The following is a 25,101-nucleotide window of genomic DNA, read 5'->3' as shown; positions in this document are numbered from 1 at the left end:
CTTTTAGATATGCATACACACAAACATCTCAATGCTTTACAAAGCAGTATTGCTGCCCGCATGTCCCACCTCCAGCCCTAAGGCGGTTTTTCCCTGTCTCAGTAGATGGAACGTACAATCGGGTTTTATACCGAGACATTCCATTGCCCAGGGACGGGCAGGAGACAGATGCCTTCCTCTTGTCTCAACTGCAAGAGGCATGCCTTCCTCTTATACTAATCCTCCTCAGCACTGACCCTTTACGGGTGTCCGGCTGGGGGACGGTCAGGTCTTTCCCTTCCCACGAGGCCATATTTCAGACTATCACATGGGGAGAAACCTTGGACAATACCTGGCTTTCCTAGGCAGAGGTCCCTGCGGCCTTCCGCAGTGTTTGTGTCCCTGGGTACTTGAGATTAGGGAGTGGTGATGACTCTTAAGGAGCATGCTGCCTTCAAGCATCTGTTTAACAAAGCACATCTTGCACCACCCTTAATCCATTTAACCCTGAGTTGACACAGCACATGTTTCAGAGAGCACGGGGTTGGGGGTAAGGTCATAGATTAACAGCATCTCAAGGCAGAAGAATTTTTCTTAGTACAGAACAAAATGGAGTCTCCTATGTCTACTTCTTTCTACACAGACACAGTAACAATCTGATCTCTCTTGCTTTTCCCCACAGTATGAATTTAAATATAAATAAAAGTTTACAATGAAAAGTAATAATTTTCTGGCTGGGTGCAGTGGCTCACATCTGTAATCCCAGCATTTTGGGAGGCCAAGGTGGGCAGATTGCTTGAGTACAGGAGTTCAAGACCAGCCTGGGCAACATGGTGAAATCCCATCTCTACTAAAAATACAAAAAATTAGCTGGGCTTGGTAGTGCATGCCTATTGTCCCAGCTACTCAGGAGGCTGAGGTGGGAGAATCACTTGAGCCCAGGAGATGGAGGCAGCAGTGAGCCAAGATCGTGCCTTTGCACTCCAGCCTGGGCAAACAGGGTGATACGTGGTCTCAAAAAAAAAAAAAAAAAGAAAAGAAAGAAAGAAAGAAAAGAAAAGAAATTTTCCTCCCCATTTTGACTTCCAATACCTCCCACCCCATTATCTTTCCAGGAAGAACCACTATTATAATTTCTTGGGTTCTCTTCTAGAGATATTGTATATCTATCTATCTATCTATCATCTGATCAATAGTGATATGCATTTTTGTATATGTGTGTTTGTCCTGATAATATTCTGAAAATATTTCAATCTGATGCTTGGGTTAAGGTCAAGATCATTTGGAATGTATATTTGGGCTGAGACATATTTGAATTAAAGTCAGGATACATATTTGGGCTGTTTTCTGATCTCTGACTGACTTTTTGTTTGTTTTGTTTCCAGAGTGACTTTTTATATTTTTTAATTATAAATTTTTTTGTGGGAGGAAGGGAAGGATTAAAAAATGCTACTGGAGATAGAAAACCTATTTATCCATTTGTGTTATATCATACAATGTAGTTTTCTGAAATTATATCTTTTTTTCATTTTCTGGATCTAGACTAGGGGTCAGCAAACTTTTTCTGTGAAGGGCAGGAAGTAGATATGGCTTTGCAGGCCATTCAGTCTTTGTTGTGACCCCTTAACTCTGACATTGTGACTTGAAAGCAGCCATGGACAATATGGAAACTAATGAGTGTAGTTATGTTCAAATGAAACTTTATGAGCACTAAAATTTGAATTCCATATTATCTTACATATCACTAAATATTATTAGTATATGTGTCTCTTTGTATTTTAAACATTTTAAAATGCAAAGATCAGTTTAACTCATGGGATGTGCAGAACCAGGAGGTGGCTTGGATTTGGCCTGTGGGCTGTAGTTTGCTGATCCCCGGGCTATCTGAAAACTAATAAAAATCAGTATTCAGGCTGAGTGCAGTGGCAGCCTGTTACCCAGGCTGGCGTACAGTGGTGCGATCTTGGCTCACTGCAACCTACTGCTCCTGGGTTCAAGCAATTCTCCTGCCTCAGCCTCCTGAGTAGCTGGGACTACAGGCATGCACAATCATGCCCGGCTAATTTTTGTATTTTTAGTAGAGATGTGGTTTCACCATGTTGGCCAGGCTGGTCTGGAACTCCTGACCTCAAGTGATCTGCTTGCCTCAGCCTCCCAAAGTGCTGGGATTACAGGTGTGAGCCACCGCACCCGGCCGACTTCTTCATTCCTTCTCTATGACCCAGCTCTGACCCCCACTTTTTGGTGCTCCCTCAGTCTGCCCTACAGCCTACCCTACATCTTTGATATGGTTTGGCTGTGTCCCACCCAAAGCTCATCTTGAATTGTAGCTCCCATAATTCCCACATGTTGTAAGAGGGACCCAGGGGGAGATAATTGAATCATGGAGGTGGTTTCCCCCATACTGTTAGTGAATATATCTCATGAGATCTGATGGTTTTATAAGGGGAAACCCCTTTCACTTGGCTCTCATTCTCTCTTGCCTCCCACCATGTAAGATGTGCCTTTGCTCCTCTTTCGCCTTCTGCCATAATTGTGAGGCCTCCCCAGCCATGTGGAACTGAGTCCATTAATCCTTTTTAAAATAATTCACCCAGTCTCAGGTATGTCTTTATTAGCAGCGTGAAAACACAAATACAATCTTTCTCTTCCCGTGGAGGCTAAGCAGAGGGTAAGCCCCACTCACCCTTAGACAGAGGGCAGTAATTCAGAGGCCACTAAGGATGTAGGAAGGGACTTGAGGGACTTTGTCTTCTTAGAATCCCCAGAATTGCTTCTACATGCATGGGCCTTATTATTTTTATGCTATTTATGATGCTGCTAGTCCAGAAAGGGCCCCTTAGAGACCTTACATAGTATAAAGACTCAGATTGGATAATGCCAGAACAGTTTATTCTGGATAAGAGTTTTTAGGATCAAGATCTTCTGGTTAAAAGTTAGCCTGTGGAAATTTCCAAAATTGAATAATTAAAATAAGGCTATTTCTTCCAGGCTTGTAACTCCAAGGATGAAGAACAACCAGGGCTTGGGGATGGGTGAAGAATCTTCTGAAGAAGTGACCTGGCTACTCTTATAAAGGTCTGTGCTTCCGCCTGCACGGTCATCACTGCTGTTGACATAAAATACAGAATTTATCATGAGCCATTCCCTGCTTAAACACCTACTATGGTGCCCCATTCGAATCCAAGCAGGGTGTTTAAGGTGCTTCAGACTCTGTCTTGATCCTCCTCTTGCAGATTACTCCCTGCCACTACCCTATGGGGAGTCTCTTGCCACATCCTCCATGCTCTAAATCTCTATGGCTTTGGCTCATCCAGGGTGATGTGACTGTTGCTTCCTCTGCCTGGCTTGTCCTCTTCTCTCTGTTAACTCCTGCTCTTTGTCAAGATCTAGCTCAGATTATTATTTCCTCTCTGAAGACTCTTCTTGGTAAAGTTGCTCGCTCTGCACTGCTTCCTCAGATCTTTGTGCACTTGTTACGTGCTTTTTAATTTGTTTTATGGCTCTATCTCCCTAACTAGACTGAAAGCACTTGAGGATGGTGACCTTTTCATAGTCTTTTTGTTATTTGGGCACTTAACACATAGCAGCTGCCCCATGATTGCTGGTCCCTTTTCTTTCTCTCCTCGCCAACCACCCACCCTGTTGTCAGACTGAAATAAGCCCAAAAGTCCATGGAAGTTGGACAGCTGTATTGACAACTGAGCTATGTCCAGGATCAAGCTATCTCTTCTTAACTGCTTAGCATGCTTCTAAGCATGGTTCAGGGAAGCCAGGACAACAGAAGAGTTCAGATAAGGTGGCCAAAAGTCCTGGAATAGTCAAAACAATTCCTGCTTCCCTGTGGTTATCCTAAGGAAGACCAATGTGTCATTTTCCCCTGGGAGCATCTCAGGGGCTGGCTTTTACTTGTTTCAGGAACAACTTTGCACACATGACCACAGCCATTGCTTTGGCATCTCTTTCCCCTAGACAGGATTTGTTTCCTGGGCACATGTTGACACAAATACCATAGGTTCCTTTTGGCAGGTCCAGGTGCCTACCTATTTCAAAAGGTTGTTTTAGGAATGAAACTGGATACTGTTCAAGTTCCAACCACATTGTGACCTCATCCACTACTACCCACCTACCAGGTCCTCACATGTGAACTCTCCCTGCACTCATGATTGCCCTGCCACACGAGTGTTGGTTGGAGTATTGTTTAGAAGCAAATCAGCCTTCAATGTGTACCATGGGCAGCTATTAGGCATGAAAATCTGCCAGCTGCCCTATAATTTCTATGAACAAAGGGATCCCTACAACAAGGGAAAGCTGGATTCCCACAGAAAGAGACTAGGCAAAGGCATTTGGTCCATTTGTATTGTAAGGCCTAAAACTTCAAGAGCTGCCTTAAAGTGCTTTCAAGTTCTCACAGGGTCCAAAGGTCTAACCCTGAGTTCTCCTGCTCTTTGAATGTGCTCCCCCCTCCACCACCCAGTGGGAGAGGCTCCCCACCTGGCTAGTTCCTCTATTATCAGATCAGCTGCACCCACCCAGTTCTTAACCTATGAGTCTCAAGTCCCTGTCAGCCCACAAAAAAAGCTAATCACATCTTCCTGCAGGAGTACTTTTAATGGCAAAAACCACGATTACCCTTGCACCATCCTAATGCAAAGCCTGCCTTCCACAGCCTCTGCTGGTTCACCCTGCTCCCAAGTGGAACCTCTGTGGGTCACTGCATGGCATGCAGTATCCTCCTCCCTCAGGCTGTGAGTATAGGTGACACTAATTCTATGTGCTATTCATCTCATCTCTTCAGTGTCAGGTGTCATGGGTTCAGCCATCTCACACTATTTAAAGTGGGGGACCCGTCCTTCACTGATGGAGTGGACAGGTGATCAGAGAACCATCCCACCAAGAGAAAGACCCTCTTGAGGCCCTCCATCTCTGCATGTCAGGTTCACAGTAAGTCTTAACGGTGCCAAACATAAGCCCTTATGCCACTCTTCTCTTCTCTTATCACCTTTGCACCCTTCTCCAACCCACACACATGCATACACTGGGCCCCTGACTTCCCTCTTCCTAGCTTCTCTTTCTGCTATTAACTGGCAGTTGCTGCCTAAACTCGCCAACCACCTTGAGAGTTGTGAGAGGATAGCCCGGCAGCCTGTAGCTGTATGCTGGGGGTGGGGAGGGCTGAAAGGAAGAGGACGTCCACCCTCCCAATGTCAAGTTGCTGAGTGAAGTCTCCTTTGATGACAATGCAGTAGGGCTAAAGTGGACTAAAATTTGCTTTCTCTCTCTCAGGCTGTGAGACAGAGCATAGAACCTGTGTCAGGTCACAGGAGAGTGATCCCCCAACACTTTGGGCCATGTTCCAACCCTGCCTGCCCCAATTCCCATTGTGTAAAATCCATCTGCAACCTATGCCAGGTGGGTGGAGAATCTTCCCTCCAGGTTAATTCAACTTCCTAGGATATAGAGGCTGTGAGATTAAATAGGAGCCCCTAGTGAATGGGGACTCAATTGTACTCACCTTTTCCTTGGGCAGGCAGTTGGGGCTGCAGACACAACACTCACACAGCAATGTACTGGGAAGATCTTCTGAAGACACAGATTCAAGACAAATATGTATCTCTCTGACCATGAAGAGGGATGTTAGAACCCCAGAACAGAGATAATATGTTTTGCAAGGACACAAATACTATGGGGCCTGTTGTGGAGGTGTAATAATTCTTTTTCAAACATTCAAACATTCAAATAATTCTTTCTTCAAACATTCTTTTTCCTCTGTGCCAGGGCTCCATTCAGGCTATAAGATATGTGGCTACCATATGTTCCCTGGTGGAGGTGAATATGGTTAGGATGGGACCGAAGAATAAGGTTGGCAAATGTGTAGCTCCTAAAATTTCAAAAAAAAAAAAAAAGTTTTTTTTTTTTTTTTTTTTTTGAGATGCAATCTCACTCTGTCACCCAGGCTGGAGTGCTGTGGTGCAATCTCAGCTCACTGCAACCTCTGCCTCCCGGGTTCAAGCGATTCTCCTGCCTCAGCCTCCCGGGTAGCTGGGATTACAGGCATGTACCACTATGCCCAGCTAATATTTTTGTATTGTTAGTAAAGACAGGGTTTCACTATGTTGGCCAGGCTAGTCTTGAGCTCCTGACCTCAGCTGATCCACCCACCCTGGCCTCCCGAAGTGCTGGGATTACAGGCATGAGCCACCTCGCCTGGTGTAAAAATCCAAATTTAAGATACAAATATTTTGGGAGAAGATGCAATCGGGAGCAAGAGAGTGAGAAGTAATTGTAAGAGTGCTGTCTCCTGACTCTTGCCCCACTGGCCAGAGTCCTGGGATGGGGTATAACTAGACCCTGCCTTCATGTTTGGGGGTCTTGGAGTAGAAGATTCCAGGTTTTTTTTTTTTATTTATTTAGGCAGGACCCTCAATGATAGAAAGTCTTATAGATAAGTTCCACAGTGTAACCATGGAGAGGAGGCATCCCTATATCAAAACTGGAGGTGCAGTATGCCTAAACATGAGCAGGGCAGAGGCAGCTCTCTGATTTTCCATGAGCACAGAGTATCATGGGAGGATCAACTTAATCATCTGATTCCCCTGAGAGGAAGACCGAAGTTAATTGAAAAACAGCTGATGGACTTGTAAAAGGTAGCCATGACCAGTACAAAAGAGCAGTCTTTGCTTACGATTTCACCAGAGCATGCCTAAAGCCTGGAAAATTGCCAGCAGTCTAAAAAGTGGATGTTCTGTTGACTTAGCAACTATTCCCAGCTATAAAAGGAAATAGCACTACTGCTGTACAATGTAGACAGTGTGGAAAAAACAGTATGAATGGAACTCAGATTATTCCTGGGGTCTCTCCTTGCTTTACTGTGTCAGTGTGTATAAGCTCATGAAAGATGTCTATAACTCTGTACAGGTTGGGTCATCAAGGGCTCAGATCTCCTCCAGAATAAAAATCTGAGTCATTCCACCAGAAAAAATTGCACCAATCAATCGAGGGGGTGGCTGAAGGCAAAGGGAACATGGATTGGATAAGCGGAGGCAGGAATTTGTTACAATAAGCTACAGCCTCACAACCAGTTTCAGAAATACTCTCCATCTACCCATATTTCATTTTTTATTGTTGGGTATATGTTTCTGTATTTAATCTTCTTTTCTCTTTCTTCTCCCATTTTCTCACTATTATAACTAGGTGAGTTAGTGGTGGTTGACTTTTAGTATATTTCATAGGATATGAAATATCAGTACAGGATCACAAAAGAACAAGAGATGAAGTGGGCACTATCAGGAGATCCTGAACTTGGAGCTGAATGAAAATAGCAAGTATTGGGCTGTCTTTGGGGACAAGATGAGTGGATTTTCAGTAGTACAGGGGCATATGCAGCAGTACCTGCATTATATTAGGTAGGGTTTGAATCCAAGGGAATGTACGAATATGCAGGCAGAGTTTGGGAATATTCCCAGCAGTGCTGATGCAGCCAGGAGTCCAGCAGTGGTGGTGAGTATTCAGGGTATTAATACAGCATTGGCACATGTCAGAGTCTTCTTGCTGTATGGACATGTACATAGCTATATTCTGTATTGCCCGACGCCTTTGTTTGCTGCCTATCACACCTTCCTATCAATTTTCCATGCTACTCTTAACATTCCAATAAGTAGGGTCAGTTTCAGTTATTTGCATAAAAACCTTTTGCCTGGTTAGCTCCCAGAACTGTGAACTCCTACAAATGCTCAAAGGGTGCTATGTTCTCACAGTCCTCCCTGCCCCAGAATCAACTAATACTGGGAGTAATTGGAGAGAGTTCTCCTCTCACCACAGGACTTAGTATGGGTTGAGGAAGAGATAACATTGAGGCAGGAGTAAATACACAGAGACTGTGAGCAACCTATTCACACAGATCATTTCTGCCTTGGGGTCTGCTCAGGCCCAGTCACACTTTTAGCTTTTCCATTTGACGGGGTGTTGCTGGACATGCCCTACTTGATGGCTAAGTGGATCAGATAACACCCAGCTCACATGGGTGGTAATGTCACACATGAATGGTTGGGCATTCAGTCTTTTCAGAGTTTTAGCTAGTTCTACAAAAAAGAGTAGGTACTTTCCACAGAGAACAGGAACTTGCTCCAAAACCCTAGGGGCTTTCACTGTGATTCTTCTGTCAGGGTTTTCCGGTTCTATACAGCATTCCTGAGCAACTCCAGACATTTTGTGTATCAAAGACCTATTGGTTTATGAGGGCCAAGAGTCAGAGCTACACAAATTTCAGTTTGAGTCAACCAGAGAGACATTGGTTTTTCTTGACATAACTCAAAGCTAATATTTTGTTAAGTTTAGATCACAGGGATACTTCATCTCCCATGGGGAACCTCCATGAGATAGTAATTTCCTGAATTTTTATAAAATTTATGTTTCATCCCAAGAAATTAATGTGACCTGCCAAAACATCTAGGGTATCTGCCTCATCTGTCTCCAGGCCCTGTCAGCACAATGCCATAAATGTACTAGATCAGATGGATATTCAATGGGATGGTGAAGTGGTTAACATCACTGTAATCTAGATTCCGTCATTGAGCCACAGAAGTAACTGACCATGAAGCAAGATAGCGAAAGTATACTGATAGCCCTGCAAGGTGAAAACACTTAACTTTTTGCTTCTGATATTTAGGCTTAGAATTGCAAATATCCAGATGTATAGCTGGCAACATTCCAGATACCAGGAGATCAATTTATTGGCTCTAGTAAAGAGAACCCACCTTAAAGGGCAGCCGTCATTAAAATTACAAACCAATTAACATCACTCTTTCAGTTTTTGAGAGGGCCCAATAATAACACCATTTTATCACTGCCTGAGTTTTGAACCAAATGAGAAGCCTACAAAGGAGTCAGCAGAGGAGGGACAAAATATTACCTTTATCATTGATAAAAAATCTCACTTGAAGGACATAGCTAATACCTTTAGAAAATTTAGATTACAAATATTAAGAATCAGAATTAAACAGACAATCTCATTCAGCAGTGTTAGACTAAGGCAGGATCCTGTTCATTGAGAAAGAGAAGGGAATAATGGGTGCTCTTGTGGTCAGCCAGCCACCAAGTGGCAGGGGAAGGAAAGGGGCTTATGTAATTTACAATTATGTATGTTATAGGAAGAGTACGTAGGGAGGGAAGTTATCCAACTGCAGCCATATCTTGGAGAAATTGCAGATTCAGTTCCATACCACTGCAACAAAGCAAATATCACAATAAATTGAGTCACACGTTTTTTTTTTTTAGTTTCCCTTTACATATAAAAGTTATGTTCACACTACATTATAGACTATTAAGTGTGCAATAGTATTATATCTAAAAAATACTTTAGTGCTAAAACTGCTAACAATTATCTGAGCCTTCAGCAATTCTTTTTTTTTTTTTTTTTTTTTTTTTTTTTGCTGCTGGGGGGTCTTGCCTCCATGTTGATGGTTGCTGACTGATCAGGGTGGTGGTTGCTAAAGGTTGGGGTGGCTGTGGTGATTTCTTTTTTTTTTTTTCTTTCTTTCTTTCTTTTCTTTTTTTTGATGAAGTCTCACTCTGTCACCCAGGCTAGAGTGCAGTGGCTTAATCTCAGCTCACTGCAACCTCCCCCTCCCAGATTCAAGCGATTCTCCCGCCTCACCCTCCTGAGTAGCTGGGATTAGAGGCACGTGCCACCACGTCTGGCTAATTTTTGTATTTTTGGTAGAGACGAGGTTTTACCATGTTGGCCAGGCTGGTCTTGAACTCCTGGCCTCAAGTGATTGGCCCACCTTGGCCCCCACAAATACTGGGATTCCAGGCATGAGCCACCAGGCCCCACCGATGATTTCTTAAAGTGGGACAACAATAAAGTTTGCCACATTGATTGACCCTTCCTTTAATGAAAGATTTATCTGTAGCATACACTGCTGCTTGATAGCATTTTGCCTCCAGCAGAACTTCTTTCAAAACTGGAATCAATCCTCTCACAGACCCTGCTGCTGCTTTATCAACTAAGCTTGTGTAATATTCTCAGTCTTTTGTTGTCATTCCAATAATGTCGCAGCGTCTGTAACAGGAGTAGATTCCATCTCAAAAAAAAAAAAAAAAACTTTCTTTGCTCATCCATAAGAAGCAACTTCTCATTCATTCGAGTTTTATCAGGAGATTGCAACAATTCAGTCACATCTCCAGGCTCCACTTCTAATTCTAGTTCTCTTTCTATTTTTACCACATATGCGGTGACTTCCTCCACTGAAGTCATCCACTAGGGCTGGAATAAACTTCCAAACTCCTCTTAAAGTTGATATTTTGACCTCATCCCGTGAATCACAAATGTTCTTAATGGCACCTGGAATGGTGAATCCTTTCCAGAAGGTTTTTAATTTACAGCCCAGACCCATCAGAGGAATCACTATCTATGGCAGCTCTGGCCTTACAAAGTGGATTTCTTAAATAATAAGACTAGGAAGTCAAAATTACTCCTTGATCCATGGACTACAGAATGGATGTTGTGTTAGCAGGCATGAAAAGAGCATTCATCTCCTTGTACACCTCTATCAGAGCTTTTGGGTGACCAGGTGCATTGTCAATGAGCAGTAATATTTTGAAAGGAATCTTTCTTTCTGAGTAGTGGGTTTCAATAGTGGGCTTAAAATATTCAGTGAATCATGATGTCAACAGATGTGATGTAGTTTAGGCTTTATTTTTCCATTTTTAGAGCATGGGCAGAGTAGATTTAGGATAATTCTTAAGGCTCCTAGGATTTGTGAAATGCTAAATGAGCACTGGCTTTAACTTAAAGTCACCAGCTGCATTAGCTCTTAGCAAGAGTCAGCCTATTCTTTGAAGTTTTGAGGCCAGGCATTGAGTTCTTTCTAGCAATAAAATATTCCTAGATTGCATCTTCTTCCAACAGAAGGCTCTTTTGTCTTCACTGAAAATCTGTTCTTTAGTATAGCCACCTTCATCAATGATCTTAGCCAGATGTTCTGAATAACTTGCTGCAGCTTCTCCATCAGCACTTACTGTTTCACCTTGCACTTTTATGTTATGGAGACGACTTGTACATCTCTATCTTCTTCCCTTAAACCTCATGAGCCAATCTCTGCTGGCTTCAAACTTATCTTCTGCAGCCTCCTTACTTCTCTCAGCCTTGACAGAGTTGAAGACAGGTAGGGCTTTGATTAGGTTTTGGCTTAAGGGAATGTTGTGGCTGGTTTGATCTTCTATCCAGGACACTCGAACTTCCTCCATATCAGCAGTTAAGACTGCTTTGCTTTTGTATCATTTGTATATTCACTGGAGTAACACTTTTAATTTCCTTCAGGAACTTTTCCTTTGCATTCACAACTTGACTCTCAGGTGCAAGAGGCTTAGCTTTCAGCCTGTCTCAGCTTTCAACATGCCTTCTTCAGTAAGCTTATGCATTTCTAACTTTTGATTTAAAGTAAGAGATGTGAGACTCTTCCTTTCACTTGAACACTTAGAGGTCATTGTAGGGTTATTCATTGGCCTCATTTCAATATTTTTGTGTTTAAGGGAATAAGGAGGTCTGAGGAGAAGGGGAGAGATGGGAGAACAGCTGGTGTGTGGAGCAGTCCGAACACACACAGCATTTATGGGTTAAGTACACTGTCTTACATGAGCATGGTTTGTGATACCCCAAAACAATTACAATAATAACATCAAAGATCACTAACCCCAGACCACCATAACACATAATAGTAATGAAAAATTTGAAATATTGAGAGAATTACTGGAGACACAGAGTAAACACATGCTGTTGGGAAAAAATAGTACTGATGGACTTGCTCAATGCAAGGTTGCCACAAACCTTCAATTTGTAAAAAAGTGCAGTATCTGTGAAGTGCAACAAAGTGAGGTAGCAATAAAATGAGGTGTGCCTGTGTTTATTCTCTCAGCCGTTAAAGCTAGAGTCAACTGCAGGTGTAACCGTTCCTCCTGGAGAAGGAGGTCAGCAGTTAGCAAGGCCACTCTACTTCCATCGTCATGAGGTTACTCATAGCTTCTTTGGATATTCCCTGGAACCCCGAACAGTGGCTATAAAGATTGTGAGCAATCCTGGGGAGAAATCCTGGCATGTTTGTTTTGGCATAGGAAGGGGCACTAAAGCCTGGAGCAGGAAAGCCTCAGGGTACCACAGACAGAGGCTGGGCTGTTCTGTGGTATGCCCCATCCCCCATCAAAATTGCCAGGAAGGGCACAAGTAAGGACTTCACTTATTTTAGCCTTTCCCCTAAATTACATTTGAGTAGCCACAGAAGCTGCTATCTCCAGGGGAGCATGAGCTCCTGGGGGCTTCCAAGACATCTGAGGATCATAACTGATGTCAAAGAAAGATACAAACTTCACAAGATAGTCTGGATGAATCAGATTTAATGAACCAAATAGAGCAAGACATAGGACATTGGGCTATAAGATGGAAAGCTTTTTGGTTGTGCTCTGTTCCTTCCTCACTAAGTCCGAGGAAGACTTCGGCTGTAAGGAAGACAGCAGCTGTGCCTGTCCTGCAGAGTCAGAATGATGCGATAACGTCATGGTGGGCTGGAGAGACCAGCAATACCAGCATGCTGATCTGCTGGCCAATGAGGAGCCCTCACTGTCAGCAGGAGTCCCATTTCTTCCTTCACGCTTCTGTGTTCTTCCCTCAGCTTCTTCAATTCCACTCTCACTCTAAGTTCCCCATTTTCACAGTCTGGCCCTTGGGAGAATATTCTCTCTGCTCTGAAGTCTGTAGAGTCTTGGCAGGAATGAAATTTGCGTTGTCATAACCCCCTTCTTTCCATCTCATAAGAAGATATTATAAAATCTCTGCTCAGAGCAAGCCATCTTCCCACCCTGCACATACCTTGTGTTCACCTCAGAGCTGCTCCCTCTTGGATTCCCACATGGAGGGCACATCCCCCACCTAGAGGAGTGACCCTACTCTCCACATCCAACTTCGGTCAGACCCAACCCAATCTGATGAGAAGGATGGAAAATGCAGGGTGATCCCTCTTGTAGGTCAAAGGAAGTGGGTCTGATGAATGCAGTGGGGACACAGCCTGCCTCTGTGTCAGATGATCCCCAGGCCTACGGCTCGGCCTGGAAACTTCTCTGCTCCCCTCGATCCTGAAAGGAGGACTGTGAGCACAGGTCACCTCATCCTCATGGTGATAAAAGCCACCAAAATGAAGACTGTGCCTTCTTCCAGTTAGGCTTTGATGTGCTGCACACACCTGGAACAATTTGTACCCTCAATGTCACCAGAAAGGAAGGCAGAGCAGAAACAGTAGGGCAGGAAGTATACACAAATACGAGGTCTCCAGGGAGTGCCCCCAGGTGAGCCAGTTCCTGTTCTATCTCACAGCTGGTTTCTCTCTAATTACAGTAGTGGTTTCTTGGAGATGTAATCGCCAAACATGAGACATTTAAGAACACTTTTTAGCACTTTGCTAATCCCAACAAGGCATGGATGTTCCTGGTACCTTTAGGAAAAGTGGCCAAAGAAATGAATCGTCTCTGTGTCATTTAGAAAATCAGAGTGAATGCGTAAGCTATGAAGCCAGGTGTAGTGTGCTGGGGGCCATCTGGGGCCTCCTGGAGGTTCAGTGACAAGAGGATTTGAAGAGCTTCTGGGAGAGATGTTGAAAGTGTGCTTGGAAGCCGCTGACCAACCCCCCAGCTGAGATCCCTATGCAGGTATGAAATTCGGGCTGCCGCTTAACTGCAGGGGCAGTAACAGGTGGGTAGTGAAGTCACTCCCTGAGAAGATGGGTGTTCAAAGGTTGCAAGCTGGCTGAGGGCCTAGAAGGTTGAGAGACAGAGTCTACCCTGATGCCTGGTGGTCTCTGACCTCTGCTTTGTACTCAGAGGTTCCTAGAGGAAATGCTGCTTCAGTGAGCTAAAGAGTGAACAAAATAACAAGAGAAGAACACTAAATGTTCCACACAAGCCTGAGTAGGATGCCTGCCCTCTCTCCTCCCCAAATTACAGAATCTCAGTGAAAGAGATGTGGAGGTAAAACCCCAATGACAGTCAAAGGAGGTGAGGCCAGACACGGTGGCTCACGTCTGTAATCCCAGCACTTTGGGAGGCCAAGGCAGGTGAATCATGAGGTCAGGATTTCGAGACCAGCCTGGCCAACATAGAGAAACCCTGTCTCTACTAAAAATACAAAAATTAACTGGGCATGGTGGCACACGCCTGTAGTCCCAGCTACTTGGGAGGCTGAGGCAGGAGAATTGCTTGAACCCGGGAGGCAGAGGTTGTGGTGAGCCAAGATCGCACCATTGCACTCCAGCCTGGGCAACAGAGCAAGACTCTGTCTCAGAAAAAGAAAAAAAAGAAGAAGAAGAAGGAGACGAATACAAAGCCTGCTTTGTCATTGGTGGTTGGAGCTGTGACAAGCACTCATGACCATCTATGGGGGGCCTGGACAAGACAATATACCCTAGCAGCAAAGAAATACTAGGCAAGCCAAGAGAAGGGCTCAGACTGAACACCCCTGGTAGTTAGTTCACATTGGCATCTCAGAATCTTTGGAGGTGCTAAATTTGCAAGCACCCAGGAAGGATGACTCAGTCTGAAGAAGGGACCAGGGCACCTGGAGATGGAGCAGTGATAGCTACAGGAGGCAGACAAATCCCTAGGCAGACAGGGGTGGGTCCCCAGTGAAACCCCGTCTTCAAACCAGAGACGGTTTAAAGCCTGAAAGCCAAGCTACGAGTCTTAGATAAATCCATAGACCAGACTGGGAACCTCTCTTCCCATTTGGCACACTTTCCTCTAATTGATCCCCACCCTTCACCTATTTTACATATACCTACACTTCCCTAATTGATTTTTTACACTGCTGTGCCCACCTTTGAGTGGTGCCTTTGTTTTAGCCTTTCTTGCATACTCACAAACCAATCAGCACACACTACCCCATTCTGAGCCCATAAAAGCCTTGGACTCAGCCACACTGGGGGACTGCCCACCTTCAGTCAGGAAGAGACCATCCAACTTTGGAGAGGGGACTGCCCTCTTAGGTCCTCTCTTTGCTGAGAGCTGTCACTCAATAAAACTCTCCTCATCCTTTGGTTGTCAGCATAACCTCATTCTTCTTGGATGTGGGACAAGAACTTGGGACCTGCCAAATGCAAGTACAACAAAGGCTATAACACTGTGGTTCTCTGCCCTCTGCTGGTGGAAGGCAACCGCCCCATGTGACAGGAAGCAGTGCTGGAGCCAGGCCAGCCCTGGAGCCATGGATTGGAGTGGGACAATGGGACTAAAAGAGCTGTTAGCCTGCTGTAACACTCCCTCTGGGGCTTTAGGGTTGCTCGCATCCCCATTCATGCACCATTGCATTCCTCTCAGCCAGACATTGGTGCCCAAGGTGGAAGCAGGTTGTGGCAAGCCAAGCCCACCTGCAGGCTTAGTGTGGATCCTGCGGTGAGCACAGGATCCAAGCAGGAGCACAAGCCAAGCACAGCCCGCTGGGCCGAGTGGGTGAGGTAGCTCCTGTGGTGAGCCCGGGGCCAAGTGAGGCCCAGGCAGGGGTATCACCAGCCATGGAGGTCTCCAGCTGGCTACGCAGCTCTGAAAAATCCTGTGTCAGCAACGCAGTACAGGACGGAGGGCAATGTCCCCAGACAGCACAGAGGACAGCAAAGGGCAAGCCCAAATCCAACTGCAAAGTGGCTGCCTGGATTCTAGGCTGATGAGTAGCCTGGCCTTGGTGAGGGAGTGGGGCCAGGCAGAACAGCCCCAAAGAGCCTGCAGGAGGACCCTCTGGAGCACTGTCAGCCAGGGGAGGGCTCCCATGCCCCTCTCTAAAAGTGACCTAAATAGGATCATGTTAACTTAGGTAACATAATCTTTAAAAGTTAATTTTTATACAAGAAACACATCAATGAACTCGTGTGATGAACAATTCAAACAATATAGACATGCAGAATGACCTACTGGGAGGTCGTTAATATTATCAGTATTAGCAGTTTGCTGTGTGTTTTTCTAAGGCCTTTTCCTATGCTTTTACATGCACACATGTGTGTATACAAAATTTACTTTTTTTGCATAAATGAAGTTATATGTATTATTTTGCTTTATTTACTTAATGTTATATCTTGGAGAACTTTCCAGGGTAGTGTCTTTTTTTTCCTTTTTAAAAAAATAAGTGCCAGCTCAGTGTGGTGACTCATGCCTATCATCCCAGCATTTTGGGAAGATGAAGCAGGAGGACTGCCTGAGCCCAGGAGTTCAAAACCAGCCATGAGGGCAACATAGTGAGACACCATCTCTACAAAAAATTTAAAAATTAGCTGGGCATGGTGGCACGCCTGTCCCAGCTACTTGAGAGGCTGAAATGGGAAGATCATTTGAGCCTGGGAGGTCGAGGCTATGTGAGCCATGATCATGCCACTGCACTCCAGTCTGAGCAACAACAGAGCAAGACCCCATCTCAAAAAAACCCTGTTATCTAAAAATCCCATCATATGAATGGCTCATATTTTATTTATCCAAGCTCCAATTCTTGCACATTTAGGTGGCTTCTAGTCTTTTTGCTATCACAAACAATACTATACTGATGATTTCATGCATGCTTCTTTGTCTATATACATCAGTATTTCCCCAGAATGCCTATATGTGAAAATAGAAAGGATGTACCTACTGTACAGTGGGAAGATATTGCCAAGTTGTTCTCCAGAAAGACTACATCAACTTACACTTCCACCCACAGTGAAGGAGACACCGATTTCTCACACATTAGCCCAATATATTTATTACCTTGCTTTCCCAAGTTAAATTTTTAGTGGACTATTTCTTGCTTTGTATTCTTGAAAGCTACTTCCCTTTTCCCCCTGGAAAAGGGAGTAGGCTTAAGACCTACCCCAATTGCGAATATCGAGCAAATAACTCTCACAACAATTAGATAAAGAAATTAATTAGCAGAAACTGTGTAAGACAATAGCACCTGGCGTTTGCTTCTCCAGCATTTGCAGTTTCCAATATGCAGCATAGGGTATTCATGGCCTGTGATAGTTTTGCTGAGGCATGCATTTCAATCACTTAGCTGCAGTATTGCTAAGGAGGGAATGATAATGACAACAGTTGACTTTTGTTAAGTATGCACTTGTAGGTTAGGCCCCCGGCTTGCATTTTATACCTGTCATCTCCCTGAAGCCCTGCTAGCCTGTGGGGTCATTTCCATTGGAATCCCCATGTCACAAATGAAGAAACTGAAGCTCAAAGGAAGTCCACACCTTACAAATGCTTCAAGCCCACCTCAGGCCCACTGATGTGGAATCTCCAAGGCTGGGGTTTGGGTAAAGCTCCCAGATGCTGTTCCTGCATGCGGGAATGAGCAGACGCTCTACCGACTTCATAAAAGCTCTATTTCTTTGTGAAAAACAAAACAGTGTTCCCATTAAAAGATTTCCAGAGCTCTGCTGACAATCACAAATTTGGGCATTTGGCAAGGTCTTATAACATATCATTTGAAAGGGCTAGGTATCCACAGCAGCCGTCACACATGTATAAAAAATTAAGAGAAGACTGAGCAGACGTTGGGAATCCCTGGATGTCCTCAGTCCACAAACCTCATCCTTCATATCTGGAGCCATCAAAGTTTCATTGCTTTTTTTTCAGGCTGGCTTGTGGGACCTTAGGCATGCAATGGCTTCTGTGTTTAGACTCCTGAATATGCTGGAATTCTATTTTTCCTGGAATTTTATATTGCAGATAATCACTTCCTATTCCTGTCAAATCCTTCCAACGCCTAACTGCACACCAGCCCCAGATGTTGATCAGATTACATCTTTGTCCTGTTTCATGAGAAAGTGAGGATGGGCACCAAGATATAGTGTCACCCAGCATGAGACTTTGAAAGGTCAGAGACAGTGAAATTTAAAAAGTCAGATGGCAAAGATCTGCCCAAGGAAGTCCTTTAACACAGGTGGGGCTGTTTGCCTTTCTGTGTTACTTAAAGCATGTGCCAGGTAATATTTCTCTCACTCTCCTACTTTCTTTTTTTTTTTTTTAGTTGAACTAACAGCGTATTTTATTTCTCAGTAACTCCATGTGCACTAATTAAACATGAGATGAATAGAGACATTATTAATTGGAAAGCAAGACAGAATTCATATCATCCCCAAGACTGGGACACAAAAGGAGGCTGGAAAAGGATTTAGAGAAAATTTTATAGAGCTGCATTCGTACTCTTTGTGACGGTTAATACTGAGGGTCAACTTGATTGGATTGAAGGATACAAAGTATCGATCCTGGGTGTGTCTGGGAGGGTGTTGCCAAAGGAGATAAAGATTTGAGTCAGTAGGCTGGGAAAGGCAGACCCACCCTTAACCTGGGTGGGCACAATCTAATCAGCTGCCAGCATGGCTAGAATATGAGCAGGCAGAAAATGTGAAAAGAGAGACTGGCCTAGCCTCCCAGCCTACATCTTTCTCCCATGCTGGATGCTTCCTGCCCTTGAACATCAGACTCCAAGTTCTTCAGTTTCAGAACTCAGACTGTCTCTCCTTGCTTCTCAGCCTGCAGATGGCCTATTGTGGGACCTTGTGATCATTTGAGTTAATATTGAATATACTCTTCTTTATATATATAGCTATTCCATTAGTTCTGTCCCTCTAGAGAACCCTCACTAATACACTCTTCTTCAGTTGCCTTTTCTGAGTGGAAACATTAAATCCTAGTGACTGGGTAAAGAGATATCACGGGGAGAACACTGAAATTGGAGATCGCCACATGCGTGCAAACAGGGCCTGCTCTCAGTGGTCACAGGGCACAGGGAGGTGGCACAGCCTGCTGTGAATCCCGGTGCTACAGCTCACCAACTGGATGCTCCATAACTTCTCTGGGCTCCATTTCCTCTCTGAAGCCCAGAGAGGCCCCTGCATCTCAAACTGCGTGGATCCTTCCACTTTTCCTGTAGAGAGCCTCATTGGAAGAAAGTCATTAGTGCAAACTTGCCAGTCATTCACAAGTGGTAAGAGCCTATTTACTGTAAATCTTCGAAACCAACTCAAGTCAAACCAAATGTCATTGTTTTCATTGGGAACTATGATTAAATAGTCATTTTCTTTTTTTTTTTAAATTATTATTATTTTACTTTAAGTTCTGGGATACATGTGCAGAATGTCCAGGTTTGTTACACAAGTATACATGTGCCATGGTGGTTTGGTTTGCTGCATCTATCAACCCATCCACTAGGTTTTAAGCCCAGCATGCATTAGATACTTGTCCTAATGCTCTCTCCCCTTGCCTCCCACCGACTAACAGGCCCTGGTGTGTGATGTTCCCCTCCCTGTGTCCATGTGTTCTCACTGTTCAACTCCCACGTACAAGTGAGAACATGAGGTGTTTGGTTTTCTGTTCCTGTGTTAGTTTGCTGAGGATGATGGTTTCCAGCTTCATCCACGTCCCTGTAAAGGACATGAACTCATTTTTTATGGCTGCGTAGTATTCCAGGGTGTTTATATGCCACATTTTCTTTATCCCTTCTATCGTTGATGGCAATTTGGGTTGGTTCCATGTCTTTGCTATTGTACATAGTGCTGCAACAAACATATGTGTGCATGTGTCTTTATAGTAGAATGATTTATAATCCTTCGGGCATGTACCCAGTAATGGAATTGCTGGGTCAAATGGTATTTCTGGTTCTAGACCCTTGAGGAATCGCCACACTGTCTTCCACAATGGTTGAACTGATTTACACTCCCACCAGCAGTGTAAAAGTGTTCCTATTTCTCCACAGCCTCGCCAGCATCTATTGTTTCTTGACTTTTTAATGATCACCATTCTAACTGGTGTGAGATGGTATCTCATTGTGGTTTTGATTTGCATTTCTCTAATGAGCACTGATGATGAGCTTTTTTCATATGTTTGTTGGCTTCATAAATGTCTTCTTTTGAGAAGTGTTTGTTCATATCCTTCACCCACTTTTTGATGGGGTTTTTTGTTTTTTTCTTGTAAATTTGTTTGAGTTCTTTGTAGATTCTGAATATTAGAACTTTGTCAGAGAGATAGATTGCAAAAATTTTCTCCCATTCTGTAGGTTGCCTTTTCACTCTAATGATAGTTTCCTTTGCTGTGCAGAAGCTCTTTAGTTTAATTAGATTCCATTTGTCAATTTTGGTTTTTGTTGCAACTGCTTTTGGTGTTTTAGTCATGAAGTCTTTGCCCGTGTCGTAAATAGTCATTTTCAAAATTAACATCAACCTTTGATTTTTAAATCAGTTTTGTGAGTCATTTACCACAAGCTAAATGTGTAAACCATGGCAAAAACAATCATTGTATTCCTCTTGCCTTTCTAAACATTCCCGATTTGTAACACTGTATAAATCCATCAATAGAAATTAACTTTCTTTTATTCTATTAGTAAAGTAGGCATAGATCTCTCCACAACAAATCCATCTCACAATGCTCTCCCTCCCTCACTGTGCTCTGTGGCAAGCATTCCCATTTTTGGCCCATTTTTATCAAAAGCCTAATACACTCATGGCTTTTCTTGGCAATATGTACTTAATAGAGCATATTTTGCTTTGCCCACACATAGGAAGCAAAGTATGTATAGATCAGAAATCTTCAAATTACAAATAACTTAATATTGCACTATTATACTAAATAACTTAATAGTACACTAAAATGACAGGGTTATTATACACGTAGCCTTTTAAAAAAATCTTGCACAAACAGCTTTGTATTTAGACTTGTTTAAAACTCTTGCTAATAATGTCTGTGTTAACAGTGCTCTGTAATTCACAATTGCTAACATGTAGAACCAACCTAAGTGCCCATCGACCAATGAGTGGATAAAGAAAACGTGGTATATATACACCATGGAATACTACTCAGCCATAAAAAAGAACAAAATAATGTCTTTTGCAGCAAGTTGGGTGTAGCTGAAGGCCATTATTCTAAATGAATTAACACAGGAGCAGAAAGCCAAAAACCGTATGTTCTCACTTATAAGTGAGAGCTAAGCTTTGAGTATGCAAAGGCAAACGGGTGATATAATGCACTTTAGAGACTCAAAAGGTGAAGGATGAGAGGGGGGCTAGGGAAAAAAAACTACACATTAGGTACAAGATACACTACTCAGGTGACAGGCGCACTAAAATCTCAGATTTTGCCACTTTATAATTCATCCATGTAACAAAAACCACTGGTATCCCAAAAGCTACTGAAATAAAAGAAAAAAAAGTCAGTGCTCTTGGCCAATGGTTCCAACCTTTTTGGCACTAGGGACAGGGTTCATGGAAGACAATTTATCCACTGATTAAGGGATGGGGGATTGTGTCAGGATGATTCAAGTGCATTACATTTATTGTGCACTTTATTTCTATTATTGTTACATTGTAATATATAATGAAATAATTATACGACTCACCATAATGTAGAATCAGTGGGAGCCCTGAGCTTGTTTTCCTGCAACTTGATGGTCCCATCTGTGAGTGATGGGAGACAGTGACAGATCATCAGGCATTAGGTTCTCATAAGGAGCGTGCAACCTGGATCCCTGGCATGCGCAGTTCACAATAGGGTTTGCACTTGTATGAGAATCTAATGCTGTGGCTGACCTGACAGGAGGCGGAGCTCAGGTGGTAATGTCAGCAATGGGGAGTGGCTGTAAATACAGATGAAGCTTCTCACTCGCCCACCACTCACCTTCTGCTGTGTGGCTCGGTTCGTAACAGGTCATGGACCAGTACCAATCTGTGGCCTGGGCCTGGGGACTGCTGTTCTAGACCATTGATTGTCAGAATCGGGAGTGCACAGTACATAGTCATTCAGTGGGTACCAGTGAGAATAGGAATAACAGGCTGGAAACAGCGCTCTACCCCATGTGTGGAGAAGAGGAGAACTCCAGAGGGAACCCAGACAGAGTTCTCTACCTGCAACCAGCCTCTCCTTCACAGTGGAAGAGGGACTCTTCCTACAGGCTGCTTTTTTTCACACAAAATTATACTCAAGAATAAACAAGCACCACTGTCACCTTACTTGAAAGAGAGCTTGTGTTCTATTTTTGGCTTGGAGCTGCTGACTCTGGTCTTTTTTTCCACTCAGGTGTCTGGAAGCTACAGCTTCATTTCCCTTTTTGGTGACCTCTTCTGTGGGCTCCTCACATAGCTCCTTTGCCTCCTTCGTTCAGTCAATGTACTGGGTCAGATGCATCGCTCTCCAAGTTGGCGTGGCCCTTCTGAAACTGGAGGCCATCCTGCTGCAGCTTGCTGTAATTCCTATGTAGCCTTTAGCTGGTCTTGCAGGATGCCTATGAGCCTCTCACCCAAGTGATGTTCTTCACAAAACCCCCTTTTAATCCTGGGACAGCTTGTCAATGCTCTCCAGCTAAAAGCTGTGGCTGGACTAGATTTGGCTGAGCTGATCTCATTGCTTTTCCTGCCCTCCCTGGAGCTTATTCCTTTTCAGCTGCACCACACCCCTCTCCACGGCCACCCTGCAGACCCTGCCTTCCAGCACCTGATCCACCCCTGGGGGTGGGGGCGGTGGGGGGCAGTTCACAATCTAGCAGTTGAAGCCCACGACAATGACACAGGCCACCAGGGAGGCCTGCACAAGGGGTAGCAACTTCATGCAGTGATGCCTATTTCCCAATGCCATCATCTGAAAATCAGCACTGAGAATCTCTCTGACATAGATTGAGAATTAATCATTTCTGTAAAAGCAGTAACAAATATTCAGTGCTTTCATATCACATTAGAAAGAACGTGGCTCTCATTATTCCCCAGAAAGGGTTTCTTGATTTGATTCTTAGCATGGGAAGTTTCCCCGCCTCCCCACCACCTTTGACAGAATTACTAATGACACCCAATAAAAGCCTTTCTCAGCAAAGCCAGAAACCCATTCTGGAGGTGAATGGGAATTCACCACAAGCAGCATCATTGCTCAGAGAACACCCTGGCAGCACAAGTGTCCCCAGTCCCTGGCTTTCTAACCTTCACTACCACTCCCCTGTTTTGCCAGCAATCATCATCATCCATGCTCACTGCCTGCAGGGGAGGGTGAATAGAGTTTAAACAAACAAGTCAGTTGAGTTCCTCAGTACTCTTTTTTTTTTTTTTTTTTTTTTTAACTCATAACAGACATAATCATTCTGAAAGTGCATTTCAGGATCTGGACTTTTTGAGAGGAAAGGATCTGAGTGTGGGAGGGAGAAGGTGCTCCTAAGGTTAAACCCCCAAAGACAATGGGGATAAGGATGATACCATTAGTAATATATGCATTTTTTGAATTAATGATAATTTTTAAGAACTAGCTTCCCACATACTGAGAGAAAATCAGATAGACATTCATGGGAGAATAAAGTGAAAGATGTGAGCCAGAAAGCTAGACATCTGAGAATGACCCCAATAGGGCGTCCATCCTGCCTGGGAAGAGGGAGGACTGTAGGTGCAGGGGAGCAGGAGGGAGGTGTGCCTGGGAACACCACCAGTCTTTCCAAGTAGCCCCTGGCCTGGAAGGCTCAGAGAAGCTTAGGGTGGGACAAAGGGGACAGAGTCACAGCCCTGACCCAGGAGGACATGGCAGGACAAGTGAGCCGGCAGTGACCAGAAAGTTGAAATGCACCTCATCAGTGGCTAGCAGGGGTCAGGGTCAATCATGAGTGAGAATCCTGCATCTCCTGACTGCTCAATCACTCTCCAGCCTTCCAGAATGCAGAGGGACCCTGGGAAGAGCTGGAGAAGAGAAGAGGAAGAAGGATGGGAGACGGAAGATTCTCAGTTGGAAAAAAAAACAGCAGCAAGAAACTTTGTTTACCTTGTTGGTCAGATTAAATTTCTGCCACCAAAAGAAATCGAGATTGAAAAGCTAAGTTTAATTATGGAGAAAATAAAGTTACATTTTTTTTTGCACAACAAAGTCATTGACTATGAAATTTATAAGCATCATATGAAACAGACAATCTTATGAAACTTACCAAGGATGTTTCCAGCAACCCCTTGTTTAGGGAACAGAGTAAAGGGGAGAAAAGGTAGCATTTTCAAATCTCAAGAAAGTGTTTTATGTCAGAATTCAATTTGTCCCAGAGCACAGCTGTCAAGAGCTTTGTAAATCTAGGCCTCTAGGAGGAGAGGGCTAAAGCACTTTCAGGATAAAGGCTAGAAGCCTAAGGCCCTGATCATTTGGGCAATCCTTGTTATTGCATTTGTTGTTCCATTCTCTGACACTTCTAAAAGGCTGTGGAATCTCCAGATGTGTTCATAAAATAGTGGTAGCAATTATTCATTGCTTCTAGGAAAGGGAAATGGATATGTTACCAACAAAGCCAGTCCCCATACAAATGGAGTCTTTCCCCGTTTAGTGCTGTGAAGCCAATATACAAAACCAAAAGTGAGTGTCAAGTAGTGCAGGCTTTATTCCATGGCCACTGTATTAGTCAGGGTTCTCTTAGAGGGACAGAACTAATAGGATAGATGATAGATAGATGATAGATAGAGAGATAGATAGATAGAGAGATAGACAGATATAAAGGGAATTTATTAAGTATCAACTTACATGATCACGAGGTCCCACAATAGGCTGTCTGCAAGCTGAGGAGCAAGAAGGGCCAGTCCAAGTCCCCAGACTGAAGAACTTGGAGTCCGATGTTCAAAGGCAGGAAGCATCCAGCATGGGAGAAAGATGTAGGCTGTGAGGCTAGGTCCATCTCTCCTTTTCACGTTTTTCTGCCTGCTTTATATTCACTGGCAGCTGATTAGATTGTACCCACCAGATTAAGGGTGGATCTGCCTTCCCCAGTGCACTGACTCAAGTGTTAATTTCTTTTGGCAACACCCACAGGCACACCCAGGATTAATACTTTGTAACCCTCAATCCAATCAAGTTGACACTCAGTATTAACCATCACAAGTCCACCCCTTGTCAACCTGAACCCATACACATCTCCTGAGATCATACATAATCTTCAAATAAAGACAATAATGAGGTCATAATTACATGTAACATAATACAACTATCCATTGTACAACTGGAAAGGCACCAATACCAACCCAAATACTATTACATAAAGTGAACAATACTTAAATGCTGATATGAAGCCAATAAATATTATGTCACATAATAAAGGAAAAGGAAATAAAATTAAGATATTTTCTTCGTACA

General features: G+C 43.7%; 2 long non-coding RNA genes and 1 pseudogene across 4 annotated transcripts in view, besides 1 other annotated feature; 1 reads left to right on the top strand and 2 right to left on the bottom strand.

Annotated features, from left to right (window-relative positions):
- Nucleotides 1-23,859, top strand: part of LOC101927369 (uncharacterized) — a 32,191-nt gene extending 8,332 nt beyond the window's left edge. The window contains exons 2-5 of one of the 3 annotated variants that reach the window (XR_007065728.1): nt 2,971-3,057; nt 4,778-4,923; nt 5,266-5,391; nt 23,644-23,859. This is a non-coding gene — a long non-coding RNA (uncharacterized LOC101927369). Of the gene's footprint in view, nt 1-2,970; nt 3,058-4,777; nt 4,924-5,265; nt 5,554-23,643 lie in introns of those variants that run through there. The other 2 variants (XR_007065727.1, XR_243796.5) reach the window with 2 other exon arrangements.
- LOC107985055 (uncharacterized) lies at nt 2,577-5,562 on the bottom strand. The gene is made up of 2 exons (XR_001752867.2): nt 5,495-5,562; nt 2,577-3,088 (listed from the first exon to the last, which is right to left on the bottom strand). It is a non-coding gene; the product is annotated as an uncharacterized LOC107985055 (long non-coding RNA).
- Nucleotides 16,742-17,324: an enhancer, noted in NCBI's record as "OCT4-NANOG hESC enhancer chr17:34450775-34451357 (GRCh37/hg19 assembly coordinates)". NCBI's record gives its function as "activates a minimal SCP1, AML or CMV promoter by ChIP-STARR-seq in primed H9 embryonic stem cells {active_cell/tissue: H9 hESC(primed)}" and the evidence as "EXISTENCE:reporter gene assay evidence [ECO:0000049][PMID:30033119]".
- On the bottom strand, nt 21,997-22,602 carry LOC100419980 (golgi membrane protein 1 pseudogene; annotated as a pseudogene).
- Nucleotides 23,860-25,101: the final 1,242 nt, after the last annotated feature.

The sequence above is a fragment of the Homo sapiens genome, chromosome 17 (assembly GCF_000001405.40).
Source record: "Homo sapiens chromosome 17, GRCh38.p14 Primary Assembly".
In the NCBI taxonomy this organism is placed as follows: Eukaryota; Metazoa; Chordata; class Mammalia; order Primates; family Hominidae; genus Homo; species Homo sapiens.
The sequence above is the reverse complement of the archived record's forward strand: the minus strand, read 5'-3'. Positions and strand labels throughout refer to the sequence as shown.